This window comes from Homo sapiens, chromosome 10 (genome assembly GCF_000001405.40).
Source record: "Homo sapiens chromosome 10, GRCh38.p14 Primary Assembly".
NCBI classification, from domain to species: domain Eukaryota; kingdom Metazoa; phylum Chordata; class Mammalia; order Primates; family Hominidae; genus Homo; species Homo sapiens.
Window position 1 is genome coordinate 92,196,594 of NC_000010.11, and position 24,332 is coordinate 92,220,925.

Sequence of the window (24,332 nt, forward strand, 5' to 3'; positions counted from 1 at the left end):
CCGTCTCTACTAAAAATACAAAAAATCAGCCAGGCATGGTGACACGCGCCTGTAGTCCCAACTACTCGGGAGGCTGAGGCAGGAGAATCGCTTGAACTGGGGAGGCGGAGGTTGCAGTGAGCCGAGCTCATGGCACTGCACTCAGCCTGGGCGACAGAGCAAGACTCCGTCTCAAAAAAAAAAAAAAAATTAGCCAGGCATTGTGGCAGGTGCCTGTAATCCCAGCTACTTCAGAGGCTGAGGCAGGAGAATCACTTGAACCTGGGAGGTGGAGGTTGCAGTGAGCCTAGATCACACCACTGCACTACAGCCTGGGCAACAGAGTGAGACCCCATCTCAAAAAAAAAAAAAGGGTAGGGGATAATTCTCTCTTCATGGTTTCTTCAGTACTAAATACAGAACATATAGGCATCTGTACCATGGTGGCTACCATAATATTAGGGAGAACACAAAAAGATTTCTGTGATGCTATCTCAAGAGTACTGAAAAATAAATTTTTAAACCTAGCAGTTCACAGATACTAACCTAACAGGGTTCACTTAATGCTCAAGAGATGAAAACATATGACATGTGAATGGCATGATAGAATTTGTACAGGCTTAATTAAACAAACTTCAGGCCTCTGAGAGTTCTCATTAAAATTAATTCCATCCATGCCTCATCAACTTATATTTGATGCATACCATTCATCCTTTTTGTTTTAGAAGTAGTAAACGTTGCTGAAATAAGTGATTAACCAGGAAGTCTGCAAAAACAGAACAAAAAGGATAGAAAAAAACAGAAAAATCTACAGTGGAATTCATCAACAGAAATTATGTATACAGAAAACCAGGCCACAATTTATCATTCAATGACAAAAGTTGCAAGTGGCAACTAACCTGTTAGACCTTTTTTTATAAGTTTTGTTTCCCAATACAGAGAAACAGGAAAGCATCATTATTTGTTTTTACAAGCAAACACACCAAGAAGTATTAGAACATCTATAAATAATGCAGCCCATTATTGACTCTTTTTCTTTGAAGATAACCAGTGAAGATGTTGTCAGTTAGCTGTACACAGAACAGCTCACCTCCACTGCATTAGTCCTCTCTTTCTTCCCTCAGCTGGATTTAATAGTAATAAATTTTTCAAGTATTTAACATGTGCCTGTCACTGTTCTAAGTATGCTATATGCATTATCTCACAGCCCTATTAAGTAGGTAGCTTTTGTCCCATTTTATAAATTAAACAAGTCGCTGGGCGCAGTGGCTCACTCCTGTAATCCCAGCACTTTGGGAGGCCGAGGTGGGCAGATTGCAACGTCGGGAGTTCGAGACCAGCCTGGCCAACATAGTGAAACACCATCTCTACTAAAACTACAAAAATTAGCCGGTGTGGTGGCACATGCCTGTAGCCCCAGCTACTTGGGAGGCTGAAGCAGGAGAATCGCTTGAACCCAGGAGGCGGAGGCTGCAGTGAGCCGAGATCACGCCATTGCACTCCACCCTGGGTGACACAGTGAGACTCCATCTCAAATAAAATAAAAATAAAATAAAAATTAAGTCTTGGAGAGAATAAATAACTGGCTCAAGGTTATGGGGATGGTGAGTGGCAGAGCCAGGGCTCAAACCCAGTCAAATCCAGACCGTGCTCTTAAGGATTCTCATTGTACTGCTTCCTTGACTTCCTCCTATTCTCTCTAGCCTTACATCCTTTTTACAAACACTCCCTTTAACTTAATCTGTCACAATCCAGAGACAGGTTTCTTTGACCCCACCCTGCAACACAAGCAACTTGACCCTCACTTGCCCTTGGTCAATGACCTTTGCTCAACTGACAACTAATTAACCTCAAGAAGTAGTTTGATCTACCTCTATACAATCCCAGGTCCGCCTCTAACAGCCCTAACCCATTCACCTGCCCTTTTCTTGGAAGAGGAATCCAGAACCCCTTGCTACTCTTTCTAGCTTATACCTAGACATTTCCTCTGCTAGACATACAAAGTGGAAGGCTGAAAGGGCCAACAGCATCTGGGGATAAAAGTAGCTCTGGAACCAAATGATAAAATTAACCATGTGCTAGGCACTGGACTAAATGGTTTAAAGTTCTATCTCCCTCCTCACTACAACGCTGCAGAGTAGGTATTATCTCCATTTCACTGAGGAAAACTGAGGCTCACAAAGGTTTATGTAACTGCTCAGTCACAGAGCTGATCAGAAATAAGGACATAAAACTAGGTCTGTGACTCTCAAGTCCATACCAGTAATGTTCTAATGCTTCTACACTAACTAGCTGCAGTGTGATCCATGAACAATGGAGGCTTAGTTGGGAAGAAAGGGACACAGACAGGACCAAAAATCAAAAGGATGGTAGATGTCTGAAAGAGCTAGGAAAAGATAAATGTGGTCATTGAAAACAGAAAAACTTTTTAGAGGAATTCCTAAGGAAGAGTTTTCTATTTATCACATGACTGCAACATATACATGGATAAAACATTCCGAAGTTAAATGCATCTAACACATAAGAAACGATTAACTGGCAGGGCGCAGTGGCTCACGCCTGTAATCCCAGCACTTTGGGAGGCTGAGGCAGGCGGATCACCTGAGGTCGGGAGTTCGAGACCAGCCTGACCAACATGGAGAAACCTCATCTCTACAAAAAATCCAAAATTAGTCAGGCATGGTGGCGCATGCCTGTAATCCCAGCTACTCAGGAGGCTGAGGCAGGAGAATCTCTTGAACCCAGGAGGTGGAGGTTGCGGTGAGCCGAGATCATGCCATTGCACTCCAGCCTGGGCAACAAAAGTGAAACTCTGTCTCAAAAAAAAAAAAAAAAAAAGGCCAGGCGCGGTGGCTCATGCCTATAATCCCAGCACTTTGGCAGGCTGGATCAAGTAGATCAAGAGGTCAGGAGTTCGAGACCATCCTGGCTAACACGGTGAAACCCCGTCTATACTAAAAAATTAGCTGGGTGTGGTGGCACGCGCCTGTAGTCCCAACTACTCGGGAGGCTGAAGCAGGAGAATCGCTTGAACCTGGGAGGCGGCGGTTGCAGTGAACCGAGATCACGCCACCGTACTCCAGCCTGGGTGACAGAGACTCCATCTCAAAAAAAAAAAAAAAAAAAAAAAGGACAAACTCACAAAACTAGCTGCTTCTAAATTTCCATCCTACTGCTCTTATTTTCTACTCAGTATATGTTATTGGGAAATATGTCAGGTCCCTTCTGCACTATAAACAGTTTAAGAGCAATGAAAATGCCTTATCTGTTTTTAAATAGATATTCATTACATAATATACGAACCTATTTTTCTCCAAACACACAGAGAGAGAGAGAGAGAGAGAGAGAGAGAATTATTTTAAAATGCCAACATCTCCAATCCTGCCTCCACTCACTGTCTTCATTCAATGGTATATTTTACCCATCCCAAATGAGACTATTATATTTGTAGCCCTCTGGAAAACCTAATTCTATATTCTCCTTCAGTCACTCAATGGCAAGCAAATGCTCCTTATATCTAACCTAAAGTCCTAATGAAGTTGAAACTTTTCTCCCTTTTCTGTCCTTGGGGGAAAATTATCAGCATCTACTGTGAATTTTAATATTCTTTAAAATTGTTGTTAAACAGTCTTCCATGCAATAAATTCTCAAGAACCCTCAAAATAGCCCAGTATAAGATTAGGGCATACAGGCCGGGCACGGTGGCTCACGCCTGTAATCCCAGCACTTTGGGAGGCCGAGGTGGGCGGATCACCTGAGGTCGGGAGTTCGAGACCAGCCTGACCAACATGGAGAAACCCTGTCTCTACTAAGAAATACAAAATTAGCCGGGCGTGGTGGCGCATGCCTGTAATCCCAGCTACTTGGGAGGCTGAGGCAGGAGAATTGCTTAAACCCGGGAGGCAGAGGTTGAGGTGAGCCGAGATCACACCACTGCACTCCAGCCTGGGTGACAAGAGTGAAACTCCGTCTCAAAAAAAAAAAAAAAAAAAAAAAAGATTAGGGCATACAGAGAAATTATAGATTCCTCATCTTTTTCTTCCTGAGGATGACTAATTCCACTTACTTAAAGCTTTTTATCAGATTGTGTTTTTACTTGCTGTGTAACAGGAAACCAAGCTAAGGTTCTGGAGAAGTTAAAAAAAAAACCAAGGATAGTATCACCTGCTCTGAAGGATGCTCAAAAATTAGATAAACATGACTCAACTTGAAGCACATTTTTGCCAAGTCTTTTCATGTTCTCCCTATTCCTAATGTTTCTTCACAGCTCTTCTGGTTTTAGCCAGGCAGGTCAGATAAGAGGCTTAGTATATCATACACAGAGAAACATGGCTCTCGGAATTACCTGACATGACCCTACATTTTGAGGCTGGATTCAGCAGGGTAAATGCTACAGTGGTCAACTGTATAAAAAGTACAAATGCCACCTGCTGCCATTGCTGACTGTGGTAAACAGTTCATAGTTAAGTACATATGCAATTTAAAAAGGAGTGATTTTTCCAGTCAATGGTGTCTGACTAAAAGAAAATATTGAAAATAAAAAGGAGTGATTATACAGCTTAGCAGTGTGCTAGGGAAAAGGCAGAAATGAGGCCAACCCAGGAAGGATACAGAAAGGGAAAGCAATGACTATGACGGTCAGAAGAGAAGGCATCAAAAAAGTACAAAAATTAGGCCGGGCACGGTGGCTCACACCTGTAATCCTAGCACTTTGGGAGGCCGAGGCGGGCGGATCACCTGAGGTCAGCAGTTCGAGACCAGCCTGGCCAACATGGTGAAACCCCGTCTCTACTAACAATATAAAAATTAGCCGGGCATAGTGGCATGTGCCTGTAAGCCCAGCTACCTGGGAGGCTGAGGCAGGAGAATCACTGGAACCCGGGAGGCAGACGCTACAGTGAGTCAAGGTGGTGCCACCGCACTCCAGTCTGGGCAACAGAACAAGACACTGTCTCAGAAACAAACAAACAAACAAACAAACAAAAACCAACAAAAATTAAAGTTGCCCCTTTCCCTGGTTAGTGTGCATATGTGACTTTTGAAAGTGATTAGTTGATGTCACCCCAAATCATTGGGTTGTTAGCCAGCAGAATATTATCTCAAGAAGTTTACTGGGCATTGATTTATTAGGTATAACAATAAAGGGGGAGCTTAACCTTTGCTATCAAAACCTATCTTAGAACTTTATGCAGAAGTACATGTAGCTCCTAATATTATTTTCTTCTTCCAGGTATCAACTCTCCTTCCCCATCCCAGACTGATTCTAGGTAATTAGAACTAAGTATATTGTAATTACTTCTTTACATGCCTGTCACTCTCAATAAACTGTAAGTCTCATGGGAGCAGAAATGTGTCTTATTTCTCTGCATTCCCATTATCGAGCAGAGGGCCTGGCATACAACAGACATTCAGTAAATGCTTACCTCACATTTAAATTGTTCTTTTGATGAATTCATCTTGCAAGACTTTTACTTTAAACTAAGAAAGAACTACTCATTTACTAGAATGGATAAAAAAAACAAACACACACCCTGACAACTCCAAATGCTGACTAGGATGCAGAACAACCAGAATTCTCATAAATTCCTAGTAGGAATGCAAAATGGCACAGCCACTTTGGAAAAACAGTTTGGCTGTTTCTTATAAAGTTAAACATATACTTAAGCACACAACCAGCAGTTCCACTCCCAAGTATTTACCCAAGATAAATAAAAACATATGTCCACACAAAAACCTATGGATCCATATACACTGATGTTTATAACAACTTTATAAAACAATGTTATTTATAATTTCCCCAAACTGGAAACTACCCAAATGCCTATCAACTGGTAAATGGATAAACAAATTTTGGCACATGCATATAATGCAATAACATTCAGCAGTAAAAATAAATGAAGTACTATAAATAAATATATCTAGTATGCACCCACAAAAATTATAAATTATAAAATTAAAAATATAAAAATTTTAAAAGTTAAATGAAGTATTGATACATGCTACAACATGGATGAACCTTAAAACACTAAGAGAAAGAAGACAATCACAAAAAATTACATATGATATTTCATTTATATGTAAGGTCCAGAACAGACATATTATCTATAGAAATAGGAAGTAGATTGGTCATTGCCTAAGGCTGGGAAATCAGGGCAAAATGCAGATTGACTGCTAGTGAGTTTGATTTTTTTTCTTTTTGGGGTGATAAAAATGTTCTAGAATTAGATCATAATGACTGACACACAATTTAGTCATTATACTAAAAACCGCTACATTGTATATTTTAAGAGTGAACTTCATGATATGTGAATTATATCTCAATAAATCTATTATTTTTATTTTTTCTTATCTTGTTTAAATTTTTTATTTTTAAGCTTTTTTTTTTTTGAGATGGAGTCTAGCTCTGTCGCCCAGGCTGGAGTGCAGTGGCGCCATCTTGGCTCACTGCAACCTCTGCCTCCCAGGTTCAAGCAATTCTCCTGCCTCAGCCTCCCCAGTAGCTGGGATTACAGGCACGTGCCACAAAGCCCGGCTAATTTTTTGTATTTTTAGTAGAGACAGGGTTTCACCGTGTTAGCCAGAATGGTCTTGATCTCCGGACCTCATGATCTACCCACTTCGGCCTCCCAAAGGGCTGACATTACAGGCGTGAGCCACCGCGCCCAGCCTTTAAGCTGTTATTTTTAAAAGGCATTTCTAAGACTTTAACAGAACTATGACACTTCCGGTAAATCATCTAACTTTAGGTACAAGACATAAGAGATGATATATATATATATATATGTATATATATGTATATATGTATATATGTATGTGTATATATATACGTATATATATGTATATGTATATATATACGTATATATGTATATGTATATATATACGTATATATGTATATGTGTATATATATGTGTGTATATGTGTATATATATGTGTGTGTATATATATATATATATATATTTTTTTTTTAGAGGTGTAGCTGGGATTACAGGAGCCTGCCACCATGCCTGGCTAATTTTTGTATTTTTAGTACAGACGAGGTTTCACCATGTTGGCCAGGCTGGTCTTGAACTCCTGAACTCAGGTGATTCACCCAAAGTGCTTGGCCTCCCAAAGTGCTGGGATTGCAGACATGAGCCACCACGTCCTCGATTTTTTGAGCTGAAGGAAGGCAAAGTCTTGACTTCAGCTGCTCCACTGACTGCGGCTTGACTTCAGCTGCTCCATTCAGGAGCCAATGAAGGAACCCAGGAATTAAACCTAAACGAGACAGTAGTAAAACTCCCAAGGTAACCCTACTGCCAGTCAAATAACTAATGCCATCTATCATCACAACATGCACCTTTTACATTTCTAAAGATGTCTTTAATATTTCTCCAGGAACCTATAAGCAATTATTAACCATATTACCCACAAACAGCATCTTCTCCTGTCTCCCACTGCTTCTGATGAGTTGTTTTTTTAATCCCATGGATTCCTGTCTTACAGTGATATACTGTGTTCTTCAGAGGCCCAGCTGACCCCATTTATGACCAGGGCACATTTTAAGAATGACATGCTACAGCATCTCCCTAGAAGCATCACTGGGCCGTAAAAGATACCTATAAGCTGTTCATTTCAATTGCTGTTTGACTTGGGTGGTTGGGTAAGGAGATATACAGCAGAATTCGCAGATTCACCAGAATCTGACAGGGGCTGCGACGTGAACGCTTCTGCTGTGGCCCCCTGTTATCCCCTTGATCCTTGAATTTAGGAACTAAGCAGCAGCTTTTATGCAAATCATCCTATAGCAATAAAAGCAATAAAACAACAGCTGTGTCAATTTGGGCTAGCAGCTTTCTAGGGCTCCTCCTCCTTTCAGAAACCAACAGATGATGCCCTGCCCAGTGTACACACAGATTAAGAGCTACAGACTATAGCTCTTCATTGTCACTCCCTGGCCATCACTGGAAAGGTCACCAATGTACATGTTCGTATATTTTAAAACAGGGAACCTGGTAAGTACCAAAGAAATTCACTCCAAGTTCATGGTCTGGGACCAGAGAAATAGAAGCTCATTATCTTAGTTTCCAAACCCCTCTCTTCTAGTGGAAGGAAAATGGTAAAACAAAAACAAAAAACCCCTTGAATCTCAAGTTTATTGTACAACTCTAATTCCAGATAAAAAGAGACTTAAATTAAAATGAGACAAATAATAAAATTGGATTAAATAACCAAAATAAACATAATAGAATATTGTATTCAAAAGCCAAAACTATCTTAACCACTTTTTTTTTTTTTTTTTTTTTTGAGACAGAGTCTTGATCTGTCACCCAGGCTGGAGTAAAGTGGTACTATAATGGCTCACTGCAACCTGTGCCTCCCAGGTTCAAGCAATTCTTTGCCTCAGCCTCCCGAGTAGCTGGGATTACAGGTACCTGCCACGATGTCCAGCGAATTTTTGTATTTTTAGTAGAGATGGGGTTTCACCATCTTGGCCAAGCTGGTCTTGAACTCCTGACCTCAGGATCCACCCACCTTGGCCTCCCAAAGTGCTGGGATTACAGGTGCAGCTGTCTTAACCACTTTTAAAGCTTTATCATTTTTTAATTTGAACAGGCTTACGCCCAAACTGCTTTCATGCTAAACCTATCCCTGACAAAGTAATGCTGGTTTATTTTTCAAAAGCAGCCAATCTGCCTCTGGGGAGAGGAAAATGGATGTGTATACTGTTTTTCATAACAAGCCTCGTAGAACTGATTAAGTCATAGCTACCATATAATAGATAATTAATATGTGCCAGACCCTGTGCTGATGAGTATCTCATTGGATTACCTCATTTAATTTTTATAACTGTCCTATGAAGTAGATATTACAATATCTTTTTTTACAGATGAGGAAACTAAATATTAAATTCAGTCCTTTTTTTTTTTTTTTTTTTTTTTTGAGACGGAGTCTCACTCTGTCACCCAGGCTGGAGTGCAGTGGCGTGATCTTAGCTTACTGCAACCTCTGCCTCCCAGGTTCAAGCAATTCTCCTGCCTCAGCCTCCTGAGTAGCTGGGATTATGGGTGTGCGCCATGATGCCCAGCTAATTTTTGTATTTTTAGTAGAGACAGGATTTCACCACATTGGCCAGGCTGGTCTCGAACTCCTGACTCAAGTGATCTTCCCACCTCAGCCTCCCAAAGTGCTAGGATTACAGGTGTGAGCCACTGCGCCCAGCCTAAATTCAGTTAATACAAATCAAGTATCCTTGAAGAAGGCCAACTACACACAAATTATGTGTTATGTAAGCATTCCAGGGAGAAAAGAACCTAAGTCTTTAACCTAATCTTCCATTTAAATGTTACCCCATTTAAGAGGTGAACATGTTAATAAAGCATCTAAAATGGAAAGCATCCACATTTATTAAAATATTTGGTATTTAGAAGGTTAAAAAATTTTACTTTAAAATAAAGCCAGTACCATTCTAATAATGATACTTTAGGGTACTTTAAATGTCATAAAGTCAAGTCCAGTAAATACTTTTTTTTTTTTTTTTGGAGACAGAGTTTCGCTGGTCCAAGCTGGAGTGCAATGGCGCAATCTCGGCTCACCATAACCTCCACCTCCCGGGTTCAAGAGATTCTCCTGCCTCAGCCTCCCAAGTAGCTGGGATTACAGGCACGCGCCACCACGCCCGGCTAATTTTTTGTATTTTTAGCAGAAACGGGATTTCGGCATGTTGGTCAGGCTGGTCTCGAACTCCCAACCTCTGGTGATCCACCCTCCTCAGCCTCCCAAAGTGCTGGGACTACAGGCATGAGCCACCACACCCGGCCTCAGAAAGTCTTAATATATTCTGGTGATAGTTGGGTCCAGAAAAAGTAATCTCTATGTACTCTTTTTCCCTTTCGTTTTGAGACAGGGTCTCACTTTGTCACTCAGGCTGGAGTACATCTGTAGCCTCCAGCTCCTGGGTTCAAGCGATCCTCCTACCACATCCTCTCAAATACTAGGACTTAAGGCACATGCCAACACACCTGGCTATTTTCTTTTTTTAATTCTTAAACTTGTATTTATGTTTATATATTTATTTATGTTCATATCTTATTTTGTAGGCAATAAATGTTTCTATGAAACTTGGGGAATATAATTAATTTTTGCATATTGAGTCCATTTAATAACCTTCAGATAGCTATACTTAAAGGTCATACTTTAATTACTTTTCTAGGCAAATTATTCAAGTTTTTCACTTAAGTAAACCGTTTCCCCAAAATATGGAAACAAACTGAAGTAAAACAGATTTTTTGAGTCCTTTAATAGGTCTGGGAGAGTTATTTAAAATTATAGACTAAAAAAGTGCTTTGGAATTATTCATGTTTTTGCTTTCCTTTGTTATTGTGGAATTCAGCTTAATGAATAAGAAACAATATGAGAAGGTACACTTCTTTTTTCCTTTTTTTTTGTTTTGAGACAGGGTCTCACTCTGTCACCCAGGCTGGAGTACAGTGGCACGATCTTGGCTAATAGTCTGGACCTTCCAGGCTCAAGTGATCCTCCTACCTCAGCCTCCTGAGTAGCTGGGACCACAGGCATATGCCACCATGCCCTGCTAATTTTGGTATTTTTTGTAGAGACAGGGTTTTGCCATGTTGCTCAGGCTGGTCTAAATCTCCTGGGCTCAAGCAATCTGCCCCCATCGGCCTCCCAAAGTGCTGGAATTACAGGCATGCACCACCATACCCAGCCCATTTTTCTTTCATGTACATACACACACCACATACTAGGCTGAGTAGAAAGATAAGATAATGGTAAGACAATAGGAGAAATGAGAATTGCTAACTAGGAATAATTCTCAACCTGGAGACAGAAAGACAGAATGGTTTTAAGGCTCTGAATTGCCTGCACTTTAATTTTGACTCAGACACTTTGTATGTGATATCTTTGTGCCTCAGTTTTCTCATTTGTAAATGGGATAATAATCGTATTTACTTTTATAGGCTTTTGCGAGGAAGAAATGAGATAAAACATGTTAATCTATGTTTAATCACCACGCAGCCAGGCACAGTGGCTCACGCCTGTAATACCAGCACTTTGGGAGGCCGAGGCTGGCAGGTCACGAGGTCAAGAGATCCAGACCACTCTGGCCAACATGGTGAAACTCCATCTCTACTAAAAATACAAACATTAGCTGGGTGTGGTGGCACATGCCTGTAGTCCCAGCTACTCACAAGGCTGAGGCAGGAGAATTGCTTGAACCCAGGAGGCAGAGGTTGAAGTCAGCCGAGATCACACCACTACACTCCAGCCTGAGCGATAGAGCGAGACTCTGTCTCAAAACAAACAACAACAAAAAAACATGTTAAGTGCTTAAAACAGTACTGGGCACATAGCCAATATTGGTCATTAATGTTCTGCTATTATTTACTTCCAAAAATATTTGATAGTCCTGTTGTTGGCTTAACAAGAGGAGAAAGGACCTGGGATATGTTGAAGTAGGATAGGGTATCCTAAGCAAGGCTCAAAAGAACACCTTGGTGAGGTTCTGATGAGCAAAAATATGTGGGAAAAATGCTTTATGAGCTGTATAAGTATTCTATAAATAAATGGTAATAGGAAGAAATTAGATTATTTTGTAGCCTGAGTATGCTAGAAAGTGAATATTTGCTTGTCTAGCTCAACAGATAATGGTAATATTTCCCTACAAATCCCCCAAGTTGAATACCAGGGTAAAGATTCAAGGCTACACATTTTACAAGTCTTTAAAGTCAGACTCCTTTGTGGTAGAATGCCATTTTGAACTTCTGCATATTCATACACAAATTAACCAGATGCTGTCCTGGAGAAAGGGTTTACCAAGCTACATCCTTAATGTTAATAGTTTTCAAGAATCTGATAAGTATTTATGTAGAAGAAACTTGCTATTTACAAATAAATCTTAGCTATTTGCAGCCCTATAGCCTGTGTGTCCTTTGAGGAATCTCTTCTTGGGTCTTTCCAAATTTTAAGGAAGTTGGGCAATGTGTCTGGCCTCCCTTTTCTGAAAGCCCTTTTTTTTTTTCTTTCTTTTTTTTTTTTAAGGCAGAGTCTCACTCTGTTGCCCAGGCTGGAGTGCAGTTGGGGGATCTGAGCTCACTGTAACCTTCACCTCCCAGGTTCAAGCCATTCTCATGCCTCAGCCTCCCAAGTAGCTGAGACCACAGGTGCACACCATCATGCCTGGCTAATTTTTTGTATTTTCAGTAGAGACGGGGTTTCACCACGTTGGCCAGGCTGGTCTCGAACTCCTGACCCCAAATGATTCACCAGCCTCAGCCTTCTAAAGTGCTGAGATTACAGGGCAGGAGCCACTGCCAGCCTGAGAGCTTTTTTTGACTCCTCCTTTGTTTGTCCTCCCATAATTCCTAGCATATGGCTCTGTCATTGCATTTACCTCATTATATAATCATCATCTATTAAGTAGATCACTAGCTTCTTGTAGTCAGAGACTATGCCTCACTTAATCTTTTTATCTTTAATTCTTGGCATATTAAAGTTCCCAGTAAACATGTTGAACAAGTGAAGAAAGAGTGAAACAGCCCTGAGCATACTTGGAAAAATTTTGTTAGCACTAACGTTTGACAGTAATAAAGCTGTTATTTAAAAAAAAATTCTGTGATGTAGACATTTTGGAAATTCTGACTGAACCGTCTTAATTTACTGCATATTAGGCCAGGCACAATGGCTCACGCCTATAATCCCAGCATTCTGGGAGGCCGATGCAGGCAGATCACCTGAGGTCAGGAATTTGAGACCAGCCTGGCCAACATGGTGAAACTCCATTTCTACCAAAAATACAAAAATTAGCTGGGCGTGGTGGCACATGCCTGTAATCCCACCTACTTGGGAGGCTGAGGCATGAGAATCGCTTGAACCCAGGAGGGAGAGGTTGCAGTGAGCCAAGATCGTGCCATTGCACTCCAGCCTGGGCAACAAGAGACAGAAACTCTGTGTCAAAAAACAAAAAAACAAACAAAAAAGACTTTTTAGAGGCCGAAACAATAAGCAAGAAGACTGGTAGTATGATTATCTTCCTTCAATGAGACTATCAGGTATATACAATATTCCAAATGCAAGGACTCAAAAGTGGAATTTCAGCAGCTCACGCTTGTAATCCCAGCACTTTGGGAGGCAGACAGGCAGATCACAATATGAGGAGTTCAAAACCAGCCTGGCCAACACAGTGAAACCCCATCTCAACTAAAAATACAAAAATTAGCTGGGCGTGGTAGCAGGCGCCTGTAATCCCAGCTACTCAGGAGGCTGAGGCAGGAGAATCACTTGTACCCGAGAGGCGGAGGCTGCAGTGAGCCAAGCTGAGATCTTGCCACTGCATTCCAGCCTGGGCGACAGAGCTAGGCTCTGTCTCAAAAAAAAAAAAAAAAAAAAAAGTGGAATTTCAAGGAACAATTTCAGGAAGGAAAAAGGAGAGAGAAGCCAAGAAGAAATGAAAAGGAAAAAGCAGACAGAACTCACTATTTATATAATTATATACCCAAAATAATCAGTCTTTCATTGGGATGACCTGTAGTAGCCAGAATTATAATGCTCTGCCGCTCTGCAGTTAGATAAAAATAAAAAGATTTAAATCACAGCACACTGTAAGCACTCAAATTTCAATAGAATTGAATAAGTTATTTAATCTCCCTGTGTATGAGTTTCCTCATTTGAGAAATGTGGATAACAATAATGCCTACCTCACCTGGATGCTATAAAGATACAAATGAAGGTGGTCATCAACTATGGTATGGAAGCAGAAGGGACCTCAATTCTGTCTTCATGAAGGAGTAATAATGAACCAAAGTAAAATCAGGCATGATTTACAGGCAGCAAACTATGAAACTGTGAAAAAGGAAAGTGGCAAATATATTCCATTCAACTAAGTGGAACTGAATGTGTATAAAAAATTAATAGCAATTATTTTGAAATAATGCAGGATAGGAAAGTTGCTGGAAACCAAAAGAAAGGAAGAAAAATATAAACATACACGCACACATACACACTTTAAGGGGTAATACATAAACTATTGAACAATCTGTAGTCTCTTGGAAAAACTGAGGGTATAATTCAATTCCAATGGATATATGATGACTTTAACAACTACTCTTCATTTGAATAATGTTATAATTGTGTTGATAACATCTATACTAAATAAAAACAATTTCATTTAAAGCTATAAATATGGCCAGGCGTGGTGGCTCATGCCTGTAATCCCAGCACTTTGGGAGGCCAAGGCGGGCGGATTACTTGAGGTCAGGAGTTCGAGACCAGCCTGGCCAAGATGATGAAACCCAGTCTGTATAAAAATACAAAAATTAGCCAGGCGTGGTGGCACATGCCTGTAATCCCACTACTCAGGAGGCTGAGGCAGGAGAATCGCTTGAGCCTGGTACATATATAAATACAGGCAGAGGTTGCAGTGAGCTGAGATCACATCACTGCACTCCAGCCTGGGCAACAGAGTGAGACTCCATCTCAAAAAATAAATCAATAAATAAAAGCTATAAACATGAAAGCTCAAAGAAAATACCATGAAATATCTTATAAGTGAGAATATATGTAAAATGCTTTTGTCAGCTATAAAGAAAGCACCACATAAAATAAAAACTGGTGGAACAATATAAGCATTCAGCCACTTTTAGACAATTTTTGTTTAGAAAATTTGATGAAACAATACCTACTGGAAGTGAAGGCTTAGTCTGGTAGATAATTTATCAAGTATCCAAGAAAACTCTTACATTGTCTTTGTAAATTATAGATTATATCTCTGTATATGTGTATTAATAATGGCATGCTAATGGAAGATCACAGATTTATGCATGAAAGTGAGAAATGAAACAGAAACCACATAGAAACAGAAACTATGACTCAGAACAGATAAACTGTGCCAAATCATGACACGGAACACAAACTATCTAAGCTCAAATTGTTTTAAACAACAGCTCATTCAAACATATATCATAATTTTTTTTTTTTTTTTTTGAGACAGAGTCTCGCTCTGTTGCCCAGGCTGGCGTGCAGTGGCGCGATCTTGGCTCACTGCAACCTCTGCCTCTCAGGTTCAAGCAATTCTCCTGCCTCAGCCTCCCAAGTAGCTGGGATTACAGGAGCCCGCCACCACACCAGGTTAATTTTTTTGTGTGTATTTTTAGTAGAGACCGGGTTTCACTATGTTGGCTAGGCTGGTTTTGAACTCCTGACCTCAAGTGATCCGCCCACCTCAGCCTCCCAAAGTGCTAGAATTATGGGCATGAGCCACTGCGCCCAGCTCAAACATATATGTTCTAAGATCATATATCTTTTTCTTTTTTTGAGACGGAGTTTCACTTTGTTGCCCAGGCTGGAGTGCAGTGGTGCCATCTCGACTCACTGCAACCTCCACCTCCAGGGTTCAAGCAATTCTCCTGCCTCAGCCTTCCAAGAAGCTGGGATTACAGGCACCCGCCACCACTCCTGGTTAATTTTTTATTTTTATTTTTTGTACTTTTAGTAGAGACGGGGTTTCACTATGTTGGCCAGGCTGGTTTTGAACTCCTGACCTCAAGTGATGTGCTCACCTTGGCCTCCCAAAGTGCCAGGATTATAGGCAGGAGCCACCGTGCCCAGCTCCAACATATATGTTTTAAGACAATAAATTCTTTTTTTTTTTTTTTTTTGAGATGGAGTTTCACTCTTGTTGCCCAGGCAACAAGACAGTGGTACAACAAGACAGTGTACAACAAGACAGTTGTACAGTGGTGCAACTTCAGCTCACTGCAACCTCCACTTCCCAGGTTCAACCAATTCTCCTGCCTCAGCCTCCCAAGTAGCTGGGATTACAGGCACTCACCACTGCCCAGCTAATTTTTGTGTTTTTAATAGAGATGGGGTTTCACCATGTTGGCCAGGCTGGTCTCAAACTCCTGACCTCAGGTGATCCACTCACCTCGGTCTCCCAAAGTGCTGGGATTACAGGTGTGAGCCACTTTGCCCAGCCTAAAACAATATATCCTCATTGTCCAATATAGTAGCCACTAACCACATGTGGCTATTGAGCACTTGAAATGTCGCTAGAATAAACTGAGATGTGCTGTATTTGTAAAGTACCCACCGGATTTCAAAGACTTAGTACAAAAAAAAGTAAAACATCTCATTAATAATTTTTGTATTGATCATGTGTTGAAATAACATTTCACATATAGAGGTTAAATAAAATATATTAGTAAAATTAATTTCAGCCAAGCATGGTGGCTCACACCTATAATCCCAGCACTTTGGGAGGCCAAGGTGAGATGATCACTTAAAGCCAGAAGTTCCAGACCAGCCTGGGCAACATAGCAAGACCCCATCTCTACAAAAAATAAATAAAATTTAAAAAATTTCAAGTGTTTCTTTTTACTTTTCAAATGTGCCACTAGAAAATTTAAAATGATCTATGTAGCTTGCAGTCTATTTCTTTGGACAGCACTGCTATAGACAGAGTTCATGGTAACTCTGCTTAAATTCCTGCATTCCGAAGTTTCAGCAACTAGGCCAGTTTATACATTTTACCAATCCCCACCCAAATCTTGTTTACTTCTGCCCTAAAACCACATTATGAGTAACCCCAGGCCCCAAAACCTTATTAAGTACCCTAACTTCTCCCATCCTAAGACACTCCTTCTTCTAAGATACTCCTGAGGCTCTGTCAAGGTAGTGCTTGCTCAGCAAGTTTAGGAAACTCAGTTTCATATAATTAACAGATTTCCCTAGTGGTGTTTACATGGGGCTTTAACAAAAGTCAATGAATAAGAATTGTAAAGTGAAATAAGTTGTGTTGGAGATTCATTAAGTTTAACAAACAGAAACAATGATGATCGGTTTGAAAAGGGTAATTTATAAATAAGTTGTTCTGTCTAATGATTTAAATTACCAAAATTAAAATCCATACTTGTAGCAATCTACCTTATTTCGGTTCCTGGAATGGTAGAGTAGGAGAACATAAGATTAATGTAGAAACAACAGGCATAATATATCAATTTCATTGAAGCTGGAATCTTAAGAACAGGCTATAAACATGTCCTAAATTTTTAGACTTTGTAGAACCTTACTATTTTTATGATTTGACACTTAACTCCTGACTGGGTCTTTAAAGCAGATTTTAAATGAAACACAAAACAAACATGGCCATCTCCACTACTTTTTCCAACAGTCTCAGGACTCAGTAGAACACTATGTTAAAGCCCAACAACTAGGGTAAATCTCCTAGTCTAGAGCTAATTATAATATGGCAAATTAGTTGAAGTCCACCAAATCTCCCCAGCACAAAGTGAATTATACCCTGCCATTTTGACTGCAATTCATGGTCACATTTAAACTCCAGAATTACAGAAATATAAGCCATACTTCTAAAAAGCCAAATTTATCCCCAAAATCACCAAACAGAAAACCATACATATGACTCAACTTTCAACTTTTTACCATTGCACACATATTAATCTCAAGTAACACACAACCATTTTCATTTTCCACCAAATAGTCACCCATCCCACCTGCTATGGACTGAATGTCCCCCAAAATTCATGACTTGAACTTAATCTCCATTGTGGTGATATTAAGAGGTGGGGGGCCTTTTGGGAAGTGATTAAGTCATGAGGGCTCCACCCTCATGCATGGATTAGTGCCTTATAAAAGGGTTAGAGGGAACCAGCTTAGACCCTTTTTGACTTTCCATCCCTCTGTCATGTGAAGACTCAGCATGCTCTTTGGAGAATGCACCAACAAGGCACTATCTTGGAAGCAGAGAGGAGCCCTCACCAGACATCAAACCCACTGGCAACTTTGATCTTGGACTTCCCAGCCTCCAGAACTGTGAGGAAATAAATTTCTGTTCTTTGTAATTACCCAAACTGTGGTATTTTTGTTACAGCAACACAAATGAACTAAGATACCACTCAATTTTTTTTTTTTAAGATGAAGTCTCACTCTGTCCCGCAGGCTGGAGTGCAGTGGCGTGATCTCAACTCACTGTAACCTCCGCCTCCCAGGTTCAAGCGATTCTCCTGCCTCAGTCCCCCAAGTAGCTGGGATTACAGGCATGCACCACGACATCTGGCTAATTTTTTTTGTATTTTTACTAGAGATGAGGTTTCACCATATTGGCCAGGCTGGTCTCAAACTCCTGACCTCACGTGATCCGCCCACCTCGGCCTCTCAAAGTGCTGGGATTACATGCATGAGCCACTATGCCTGGCTCAAATTTATTTTAACAATTTTTTTTTCAACTTTCCCAGCATTCCTAACATCAGTAAAAGTTTTTTGTTATTTCTTTTTTTTGAGACAGAGTCTCACTCTGTCACCCAGCTGGAGTGCAGTGGTGCAATCTTGGCTCACTGCAGCCTCTGCTTCCTGGGTTCAAGTGATTCGCATGCCTCAGCCTCCCAAGTAGCTGGAATTACAGGCATATGCCACCATATCTGGCTAATTTTTGTATTTTTAGTGGAGGCGGGGTTTTGCCATGTTGGCCAGGCTAGTCTCAAACTCCTGACCTCAAGTGATCCACCCACCTTGGCCACCCAAAGTGCTGGCATCACAGACGTGAGCCACAGTGCCAAGCCAAGATTTTTTTTTTTTTTTTTTTGAGACGGAGTCTCACTCTGTTGCCCGGGCTAGAGTGCAGTAGTGCAATCTCAGCTCACTGCAACTTCAACCTCCTGGGTTCAATCGATTCTCCTGCCTCTGCCTCCTAAGTAGCTGGGATTACAGGCGCCCACCACTACACCCAGCTAATTTTTCGCATTTTTAGTAGAGATGGGGTTTCACCATGTTGGCCAGGCTGGTCTTGAACTCCTGATCTCCTGATCCGCCCACCACAGCCTCCCAAAGTGCTGGGATTACAGGCATGAGTCACTGCACCTGGCTTTTTTTTTTTAGACGGAGTCTCACTCTGTCACCAGGCTGCAGTGCAGTGGTGTGATCTTGACTCACTGCAACCTCCACCTCCCGGGTTCAAGCGATTTTCCTGCCTCTGCCTCCTGAGTAGCTGGGATTACAGGCGCCCACCACTACGCCCAGCTAATTATCTGTATTTTTAGTAGAGATGGGGTTTCACTGTGTTGGCCAGGCTGGTCTCAAACTCCTGACCTCATGATCTGTCTGCCTCGGTCTCCCAAAGTGCTGGAATTACAGGCATGAGCCATGGCGCCTGGCTTTTTTTTTTTTTTTTTTTCTTTTTTTTGAGAACAAGTCTCACTCTGTCACCAGGCTGGAGTGCAGTGGCACGATCTCGGCTCACTGCAACTTCCACCTCCCAGGTTCAAGCGATTCTCTTGCCTCAGCCTCCCGAGTAGGCTGGAACTACAGGTGCGTGCCACCACATGCAGCTAATTTTTGTATTTTTAGCAGAGACAGGGTTTCACCATGTTGGCCAGGATGGTCTCCATCTCCTGACCTCATGATCCACCTGCCTCGGCCTCCCAAAGTGTTGGGATTACAGGCCTGAGCCACCGCGCCCAGCTCATTTTTTTTTTTTTTAATAAGCGAAGATATCAGATACTCTCTAAATCCTATGAAACCTGAACTAGAACATCAGAATTAAAATCATTTAAATATATATATATTTTGATGGCTGGGTGCAGTGGCTCACGCCTGTAATCCCAGCACTTTGGGAGGCCGAGGAGCACGGATCACAAGGTCAAGAGATCAAGATCATACTGGCCAACATGGTGAAACCCCATCTCTACTAAAAACATAAAATTTGGCTGGGCAGCCTCCCTGGGACTAGGTTTCAGCGGCCGCTGCGATGACCAAAATAAAGGCAGATCCCGAAGGGCCCGAGGCTCAGGCGGAGGTGTGTTCCGGGGAGCGCACCTACCAGGAGCTGCTGGTCAACCAGAACCCCATCGCGCAGCTCCTGGCTTCTCGCCGCCTCAAGCGGAAGCTCTACAAATGCATTAAGAAAGCGGTGAAGCAGAAGCAGATTCGGCGCGGGGTGAAAGAGGTTCAGAAATTTGTCAACAAAGGAGAAAAAGGGATCATGGTTTTGGCAGGAGACACACTGCCCATTGAGGTATACTGCCATCTCCCAGTTAGGTGTGAGGACCGAAATCTGCCCTATGTCTATATCCCCTCTAAGACGGACCTGGGTGCAGCCACAGGCTCCAAGCGCCCCACCTGTGTGATAATGGTCAAGCCCCACGAGGAGTACCAGGAGGCTTACGACGAGTGCCTGGAGGAGGTGCAGTCCCTGCCCCTACCCCTATGAGGAGCTCCGGTAGCACCTGGGCACCTGCCGCTGGAAGCTACTGGGCTGACGGCAGGACGACTGGCTGTCCTCCTGCCCACCCACACTGACGGCATCTTCCCAGTTCCCCAAGGCACGCCTTCTTACCAGGCAGCTCTAACAGCCCTTTCATGAAGGTAATGCTAGTCTTCTGTCCATCAGTGCCATTTCCTGTAGAACTAAAGGCTGTTCCAAGAATGTAGGGTGGAGAAAGTAAATGCTAAGACTAAAAAAAAAAAAAAAAAAATTGGCTGGGCATAGTGGTATGCGCCTGTAGTCCGAGCTATTCGGGAGGCTGAGGCAAGAGAATCACTTGAACCTGGGAGGCGGAGGTTACGGTCAGCCAAGATCATGCCACTGCACTCCAGCCTGGCGACACAGCGAGACTCTGCCTCAAAAAAAAAAAAAAAAAAAAAAAAAAAATTATATATATATATACACACACACACACACACACACACATATATATATGCACAGAATAAAATTCCCAACTTGAGAGCCATGCACTAATGATATAAACCACTATGGTGGCATCTAAATTTAACATATTTAATTGATTTATCAATATGATGATTCACAATAAATTCTGCAACTTTGACTCCCAGCATGCTTTTCAAGTCTCTACCATCAATGAATACTCAAGAAATCAAATTAAATTCATATTAACAAGCTGGGCGTGGTGGCTCATGCCTGTAATCCCAACACTTTGGGAGGCCAAGGTGGGTGGATCACCTGAGGTCAGGAGTTCGAGACCAGCATGACCAACATGGAGGAACCCCGTCTCTACTAAAAATACAAAAATTAGCTGGGCGTGGTGGCACATGCCTGTAATCCCAGCTACTCAGGAGGCTGAGGCAGGAGAATCACTTGAACCTGGGAGGCACAGGTTGCGGTGAGCCAAGATCGTGCCATTGCACTCCAGCCTGGGCAACAAGCGCAAAACTGCGCCTCAAAAAAATAATAAAAAAAAAATAAATTCATTTTAACAACAAATGATTATAAATGACCACTGACAAAACAGTATTTCAAAATCAAAGAGGTCAGGCCTGTAATTCCAGGACTTTGTGAAACTGAGGCAGTAAAACAGCTTGAGCCCAGGAGTTCAAGACCAGCCTGGCCAACATGGCAAAACCCCGTTTCTACAAAAAATTATCTGGGCATGATGGTCCACACCTGTAGTCCTAGCTACACAGGAGGCTGAGATGGGAGGATCGCCTGATCCCAAGAAGGCAAGGCTTCACTGAGCTGTGATTACACATCAGTACGCTGCAGCCTGGGTAAAAGAGTGAGACCCTATCTCAAAAAACAACAACAAGGCCGGGCACAGTGGCTCACACCTGTAATCCCAGCACTTTGGGAGGCCGAGGTGGGCAGATCACGAGGTCAGGAGTTTGAGACCAGCCTGACCAACATGGTGAAACCTCGTCTCTACTAAAAATACAAAAATTAGCCCAGAGTGGCGGCACACACCTGTAATCCCAGCTACTTGGGAAGCTAAGGCAGGAGAATCGCCTGAACCTGGGAGGTGGAGGTCGCAGTGAGCTGAGATCGCGCCACTGCACTCCAGCCTGTGCTACAGAGCAAGATTCCATCTCAAAACAAACAAACAGACAAACAAACACCAAAAACAAAATCAAAGAGAAATTTTGACTTTTAGATCACTGATACGACTTTGCCATTACATGGCCAATTGAAAATGTCTCCTACTCAATCTTACAGGATGCATGGATATATGTGCATATGTGTATGCCTAGGTATATAAAAAATTGAGACATGGGTCTGTGTTTTAATGAAAACCATTACAAGCATAGATCCTGTTCTCCAGCCTACCCACAAGTGAACTACCCACAGTAGGCCAACATAAACTGTCAAACAAAGACCTTTTGTGAAACCTATAGAGTAAGAACAATAGAGATTGTCATAGGGTGCTCTATAGCATGAAGAGATGCTCTCATTCACTCCAGGTCCTGACCTCACAGCAGTTCCACTTCCCCACCTTTTCTTTTTTTTTTTCTCTTTTCAGACAGGGTCTCAAATCTGCCACCCAGGCTGGAGCGCAGTGGTATGATCACAGCTCGCTGCAGCCTCGACTTCCTAAGGCTCAGGTGAACATAGACCTATAGTGCATAACTTTTCTATATATCTTTTTATAATACTGACTACTGTAAAAAGCCATCAGTCCAGATTATTAATAATATGTGCAATGCAAATTATGTTGAACACACTTTCTTTGATGGTTTAGAACAAACGAAGTGTCTTCGGGGCATCATGAATATTATGATCATGCCCCAAGAGATTAAAAGATTCGGTTTTGAACTTGCTTATGACACCCCTAGAAGAAAATTCTTAATATAAATTCCTAATATCAGCTTGCTTGCCTATGGCTTGCTTGAATAAAACTGGAATATAAAATGGGCAATTGCTTAACTTCTTGGACTGTATAAAATGGCTGCCCTTTTAAATATTTAATTATTGTAACAAAAGCTGAAGCATCCTTTTACCCAGCTTTGTCCTCTTTGCTGAAATCTTCACTGTCTTTCAGTGTCCTTTGATGTCTCAGTATTCAATACATTCTCTATTATTTATGTCCCACTAACAGAATATGTCACCTCAACCCCCTTGTATGCTTCAACCTTCCATTATACCTCACAATGTGAAGGAATAAATTCACTATCAAGAGATTTTTCTGCCTTTAATCCTAACCACAGGCCTTGAATTTTTGACCTTAAGCTATAATTTCCTAAAAGCTGTTTTCTACTTTTCACATATAACGAATCTCAGCCTAACGCAGAATATCAGATATCCCGTTACATTTTAAAATGAAAACCTTGTGTTATACCTGCATGATTCACCTACCTTAAAATAGCTACTCTGGAATAACATTTCATATTCTAGATCACACCAGAGTTAATAGGTAAAATGAATCATCTACACTGGCAAATAAGCAGAAAACAGGCAGTAAGCTCTAAAATGTTAACTAAATAATTTTATTACCTTCTGATGAGCTCATATCTTTGAAATGTTGAGAAATTCTAGATCAAAATATGATAAAAGTCAATCTCCAGGCCGGGCATGGTGGCTCACGCCTGTAATCCCAACACTTTGGGAGGCTGAAGTGGGCAGATCACCTGAGGTCAGGAGTTCGATACCAGCCTGGCCAATGTGGCAAAACCCCATCTCTGCTAAAAATACAAAAATTAGCCAAGTGTGGTGGCGCATGCCTGTCGTCCCAGCTACTCCGGAGGCTGAGCCAGAAATGTTTGAACCCAGGAGGTGGAGGTTGCGGTGAGCGGAGATTGGGCCACTGCACTCCAGACTAGGCAATAAAGATTCCGTCTCAAAAAAAAAAATCAATCTCCCACCCAGCCCCAAATCTTCTAAAATGTTAAATTTGTAATGCGTATGAAAGTAAAATTTAAAACTTTCCATTCACTAAAAGTCTTAGTTTGTAACCACCTGAAGTATTAGCACAATTAATCTGTCTTTGTTCTGTCTAAAATTAACACAAAGTTTAATTTGGCAAATATTCAAAATAATGTTTCATCAGCATTGTAAAATCATTGAAATTACTTAGATTGTGTTTCTGCAGCATAAGAGCCAACGATTTTTAACTAGATTCAACTATTTTGATAATGCCATTCCATAGATGGCATTAATAGTAAAGCCTTCCCCACCCCACCCCCATCCCACCCAGATAACTTTTTTCCTTTTAAATGAGCACTATGGCAATGAAGTACCTGGTAAACCTACACCTTAAACTGCCATGTTAAAAAAAAAAAAAAACCTCCTTCCAAAACAAGTAAACAAGACAGGATCCTTTTGTTTTCATTTACATATACATAGACCATCATGCTGAAAAAGAGTTTAGAGCTGGCAAAAGTCTAGTCAATTGTTCTTACCAGGCCTTGATGTTAAACATCTTAAACAAATTGCATTCCGAAATGCTCTTTTGTTAAACTGGCTGTTTACCAATAGAAACAAAGTAACAGATGATGGTTAGGTTTCCATTCTAGCCTGTAAGTAGTAGATAATTGGTTACAAAGCTAAACAAAGACACAGAAAACCGTACATAATCTACAAGTCTAGCATGCTTCTCTGAGTTGAAAGTCTACCA

The 24,332-nt window shown here is 41.4% G+C and overlaps 1 protein-coding gene and 1 pseudogene across 25 annotated transcripts in view, besides 1 other annotated feature; one reads left to right on the plus strand and one right to left on the minus strand.

Moving 5' to 3' along the window:
- CPEB3 (cytoplasmic polyadenylation element binding protein 3) overlaps positions 1-24,332 on the minus strand; it is a 244,542-nt gene that overhangs the window by 149,902 nt on the left and 70,308 nt on the right. The gene's annotated exons all lie outside the window — the stretch shown is intronic.
- Positions 14,739-14,908: an enhancer, noted in NCBI's record as "active region_3768". NCBI's record gives its function as "activates an Ori minimal core promoter by ATAC-STARR-seq in GM12878 lymphoblastoid cells {active_cell/tissue: GM12878}" and the evidence as "EXISTENCE:reporter gene assay evidence [ECO:0000049][PMID:35858748]".
- NHP2P1 (NHP2 ribonucleoprotein pseudogene 1) lies at positions 19,699-20,450 on the plus strand (annotated as a pseudogene).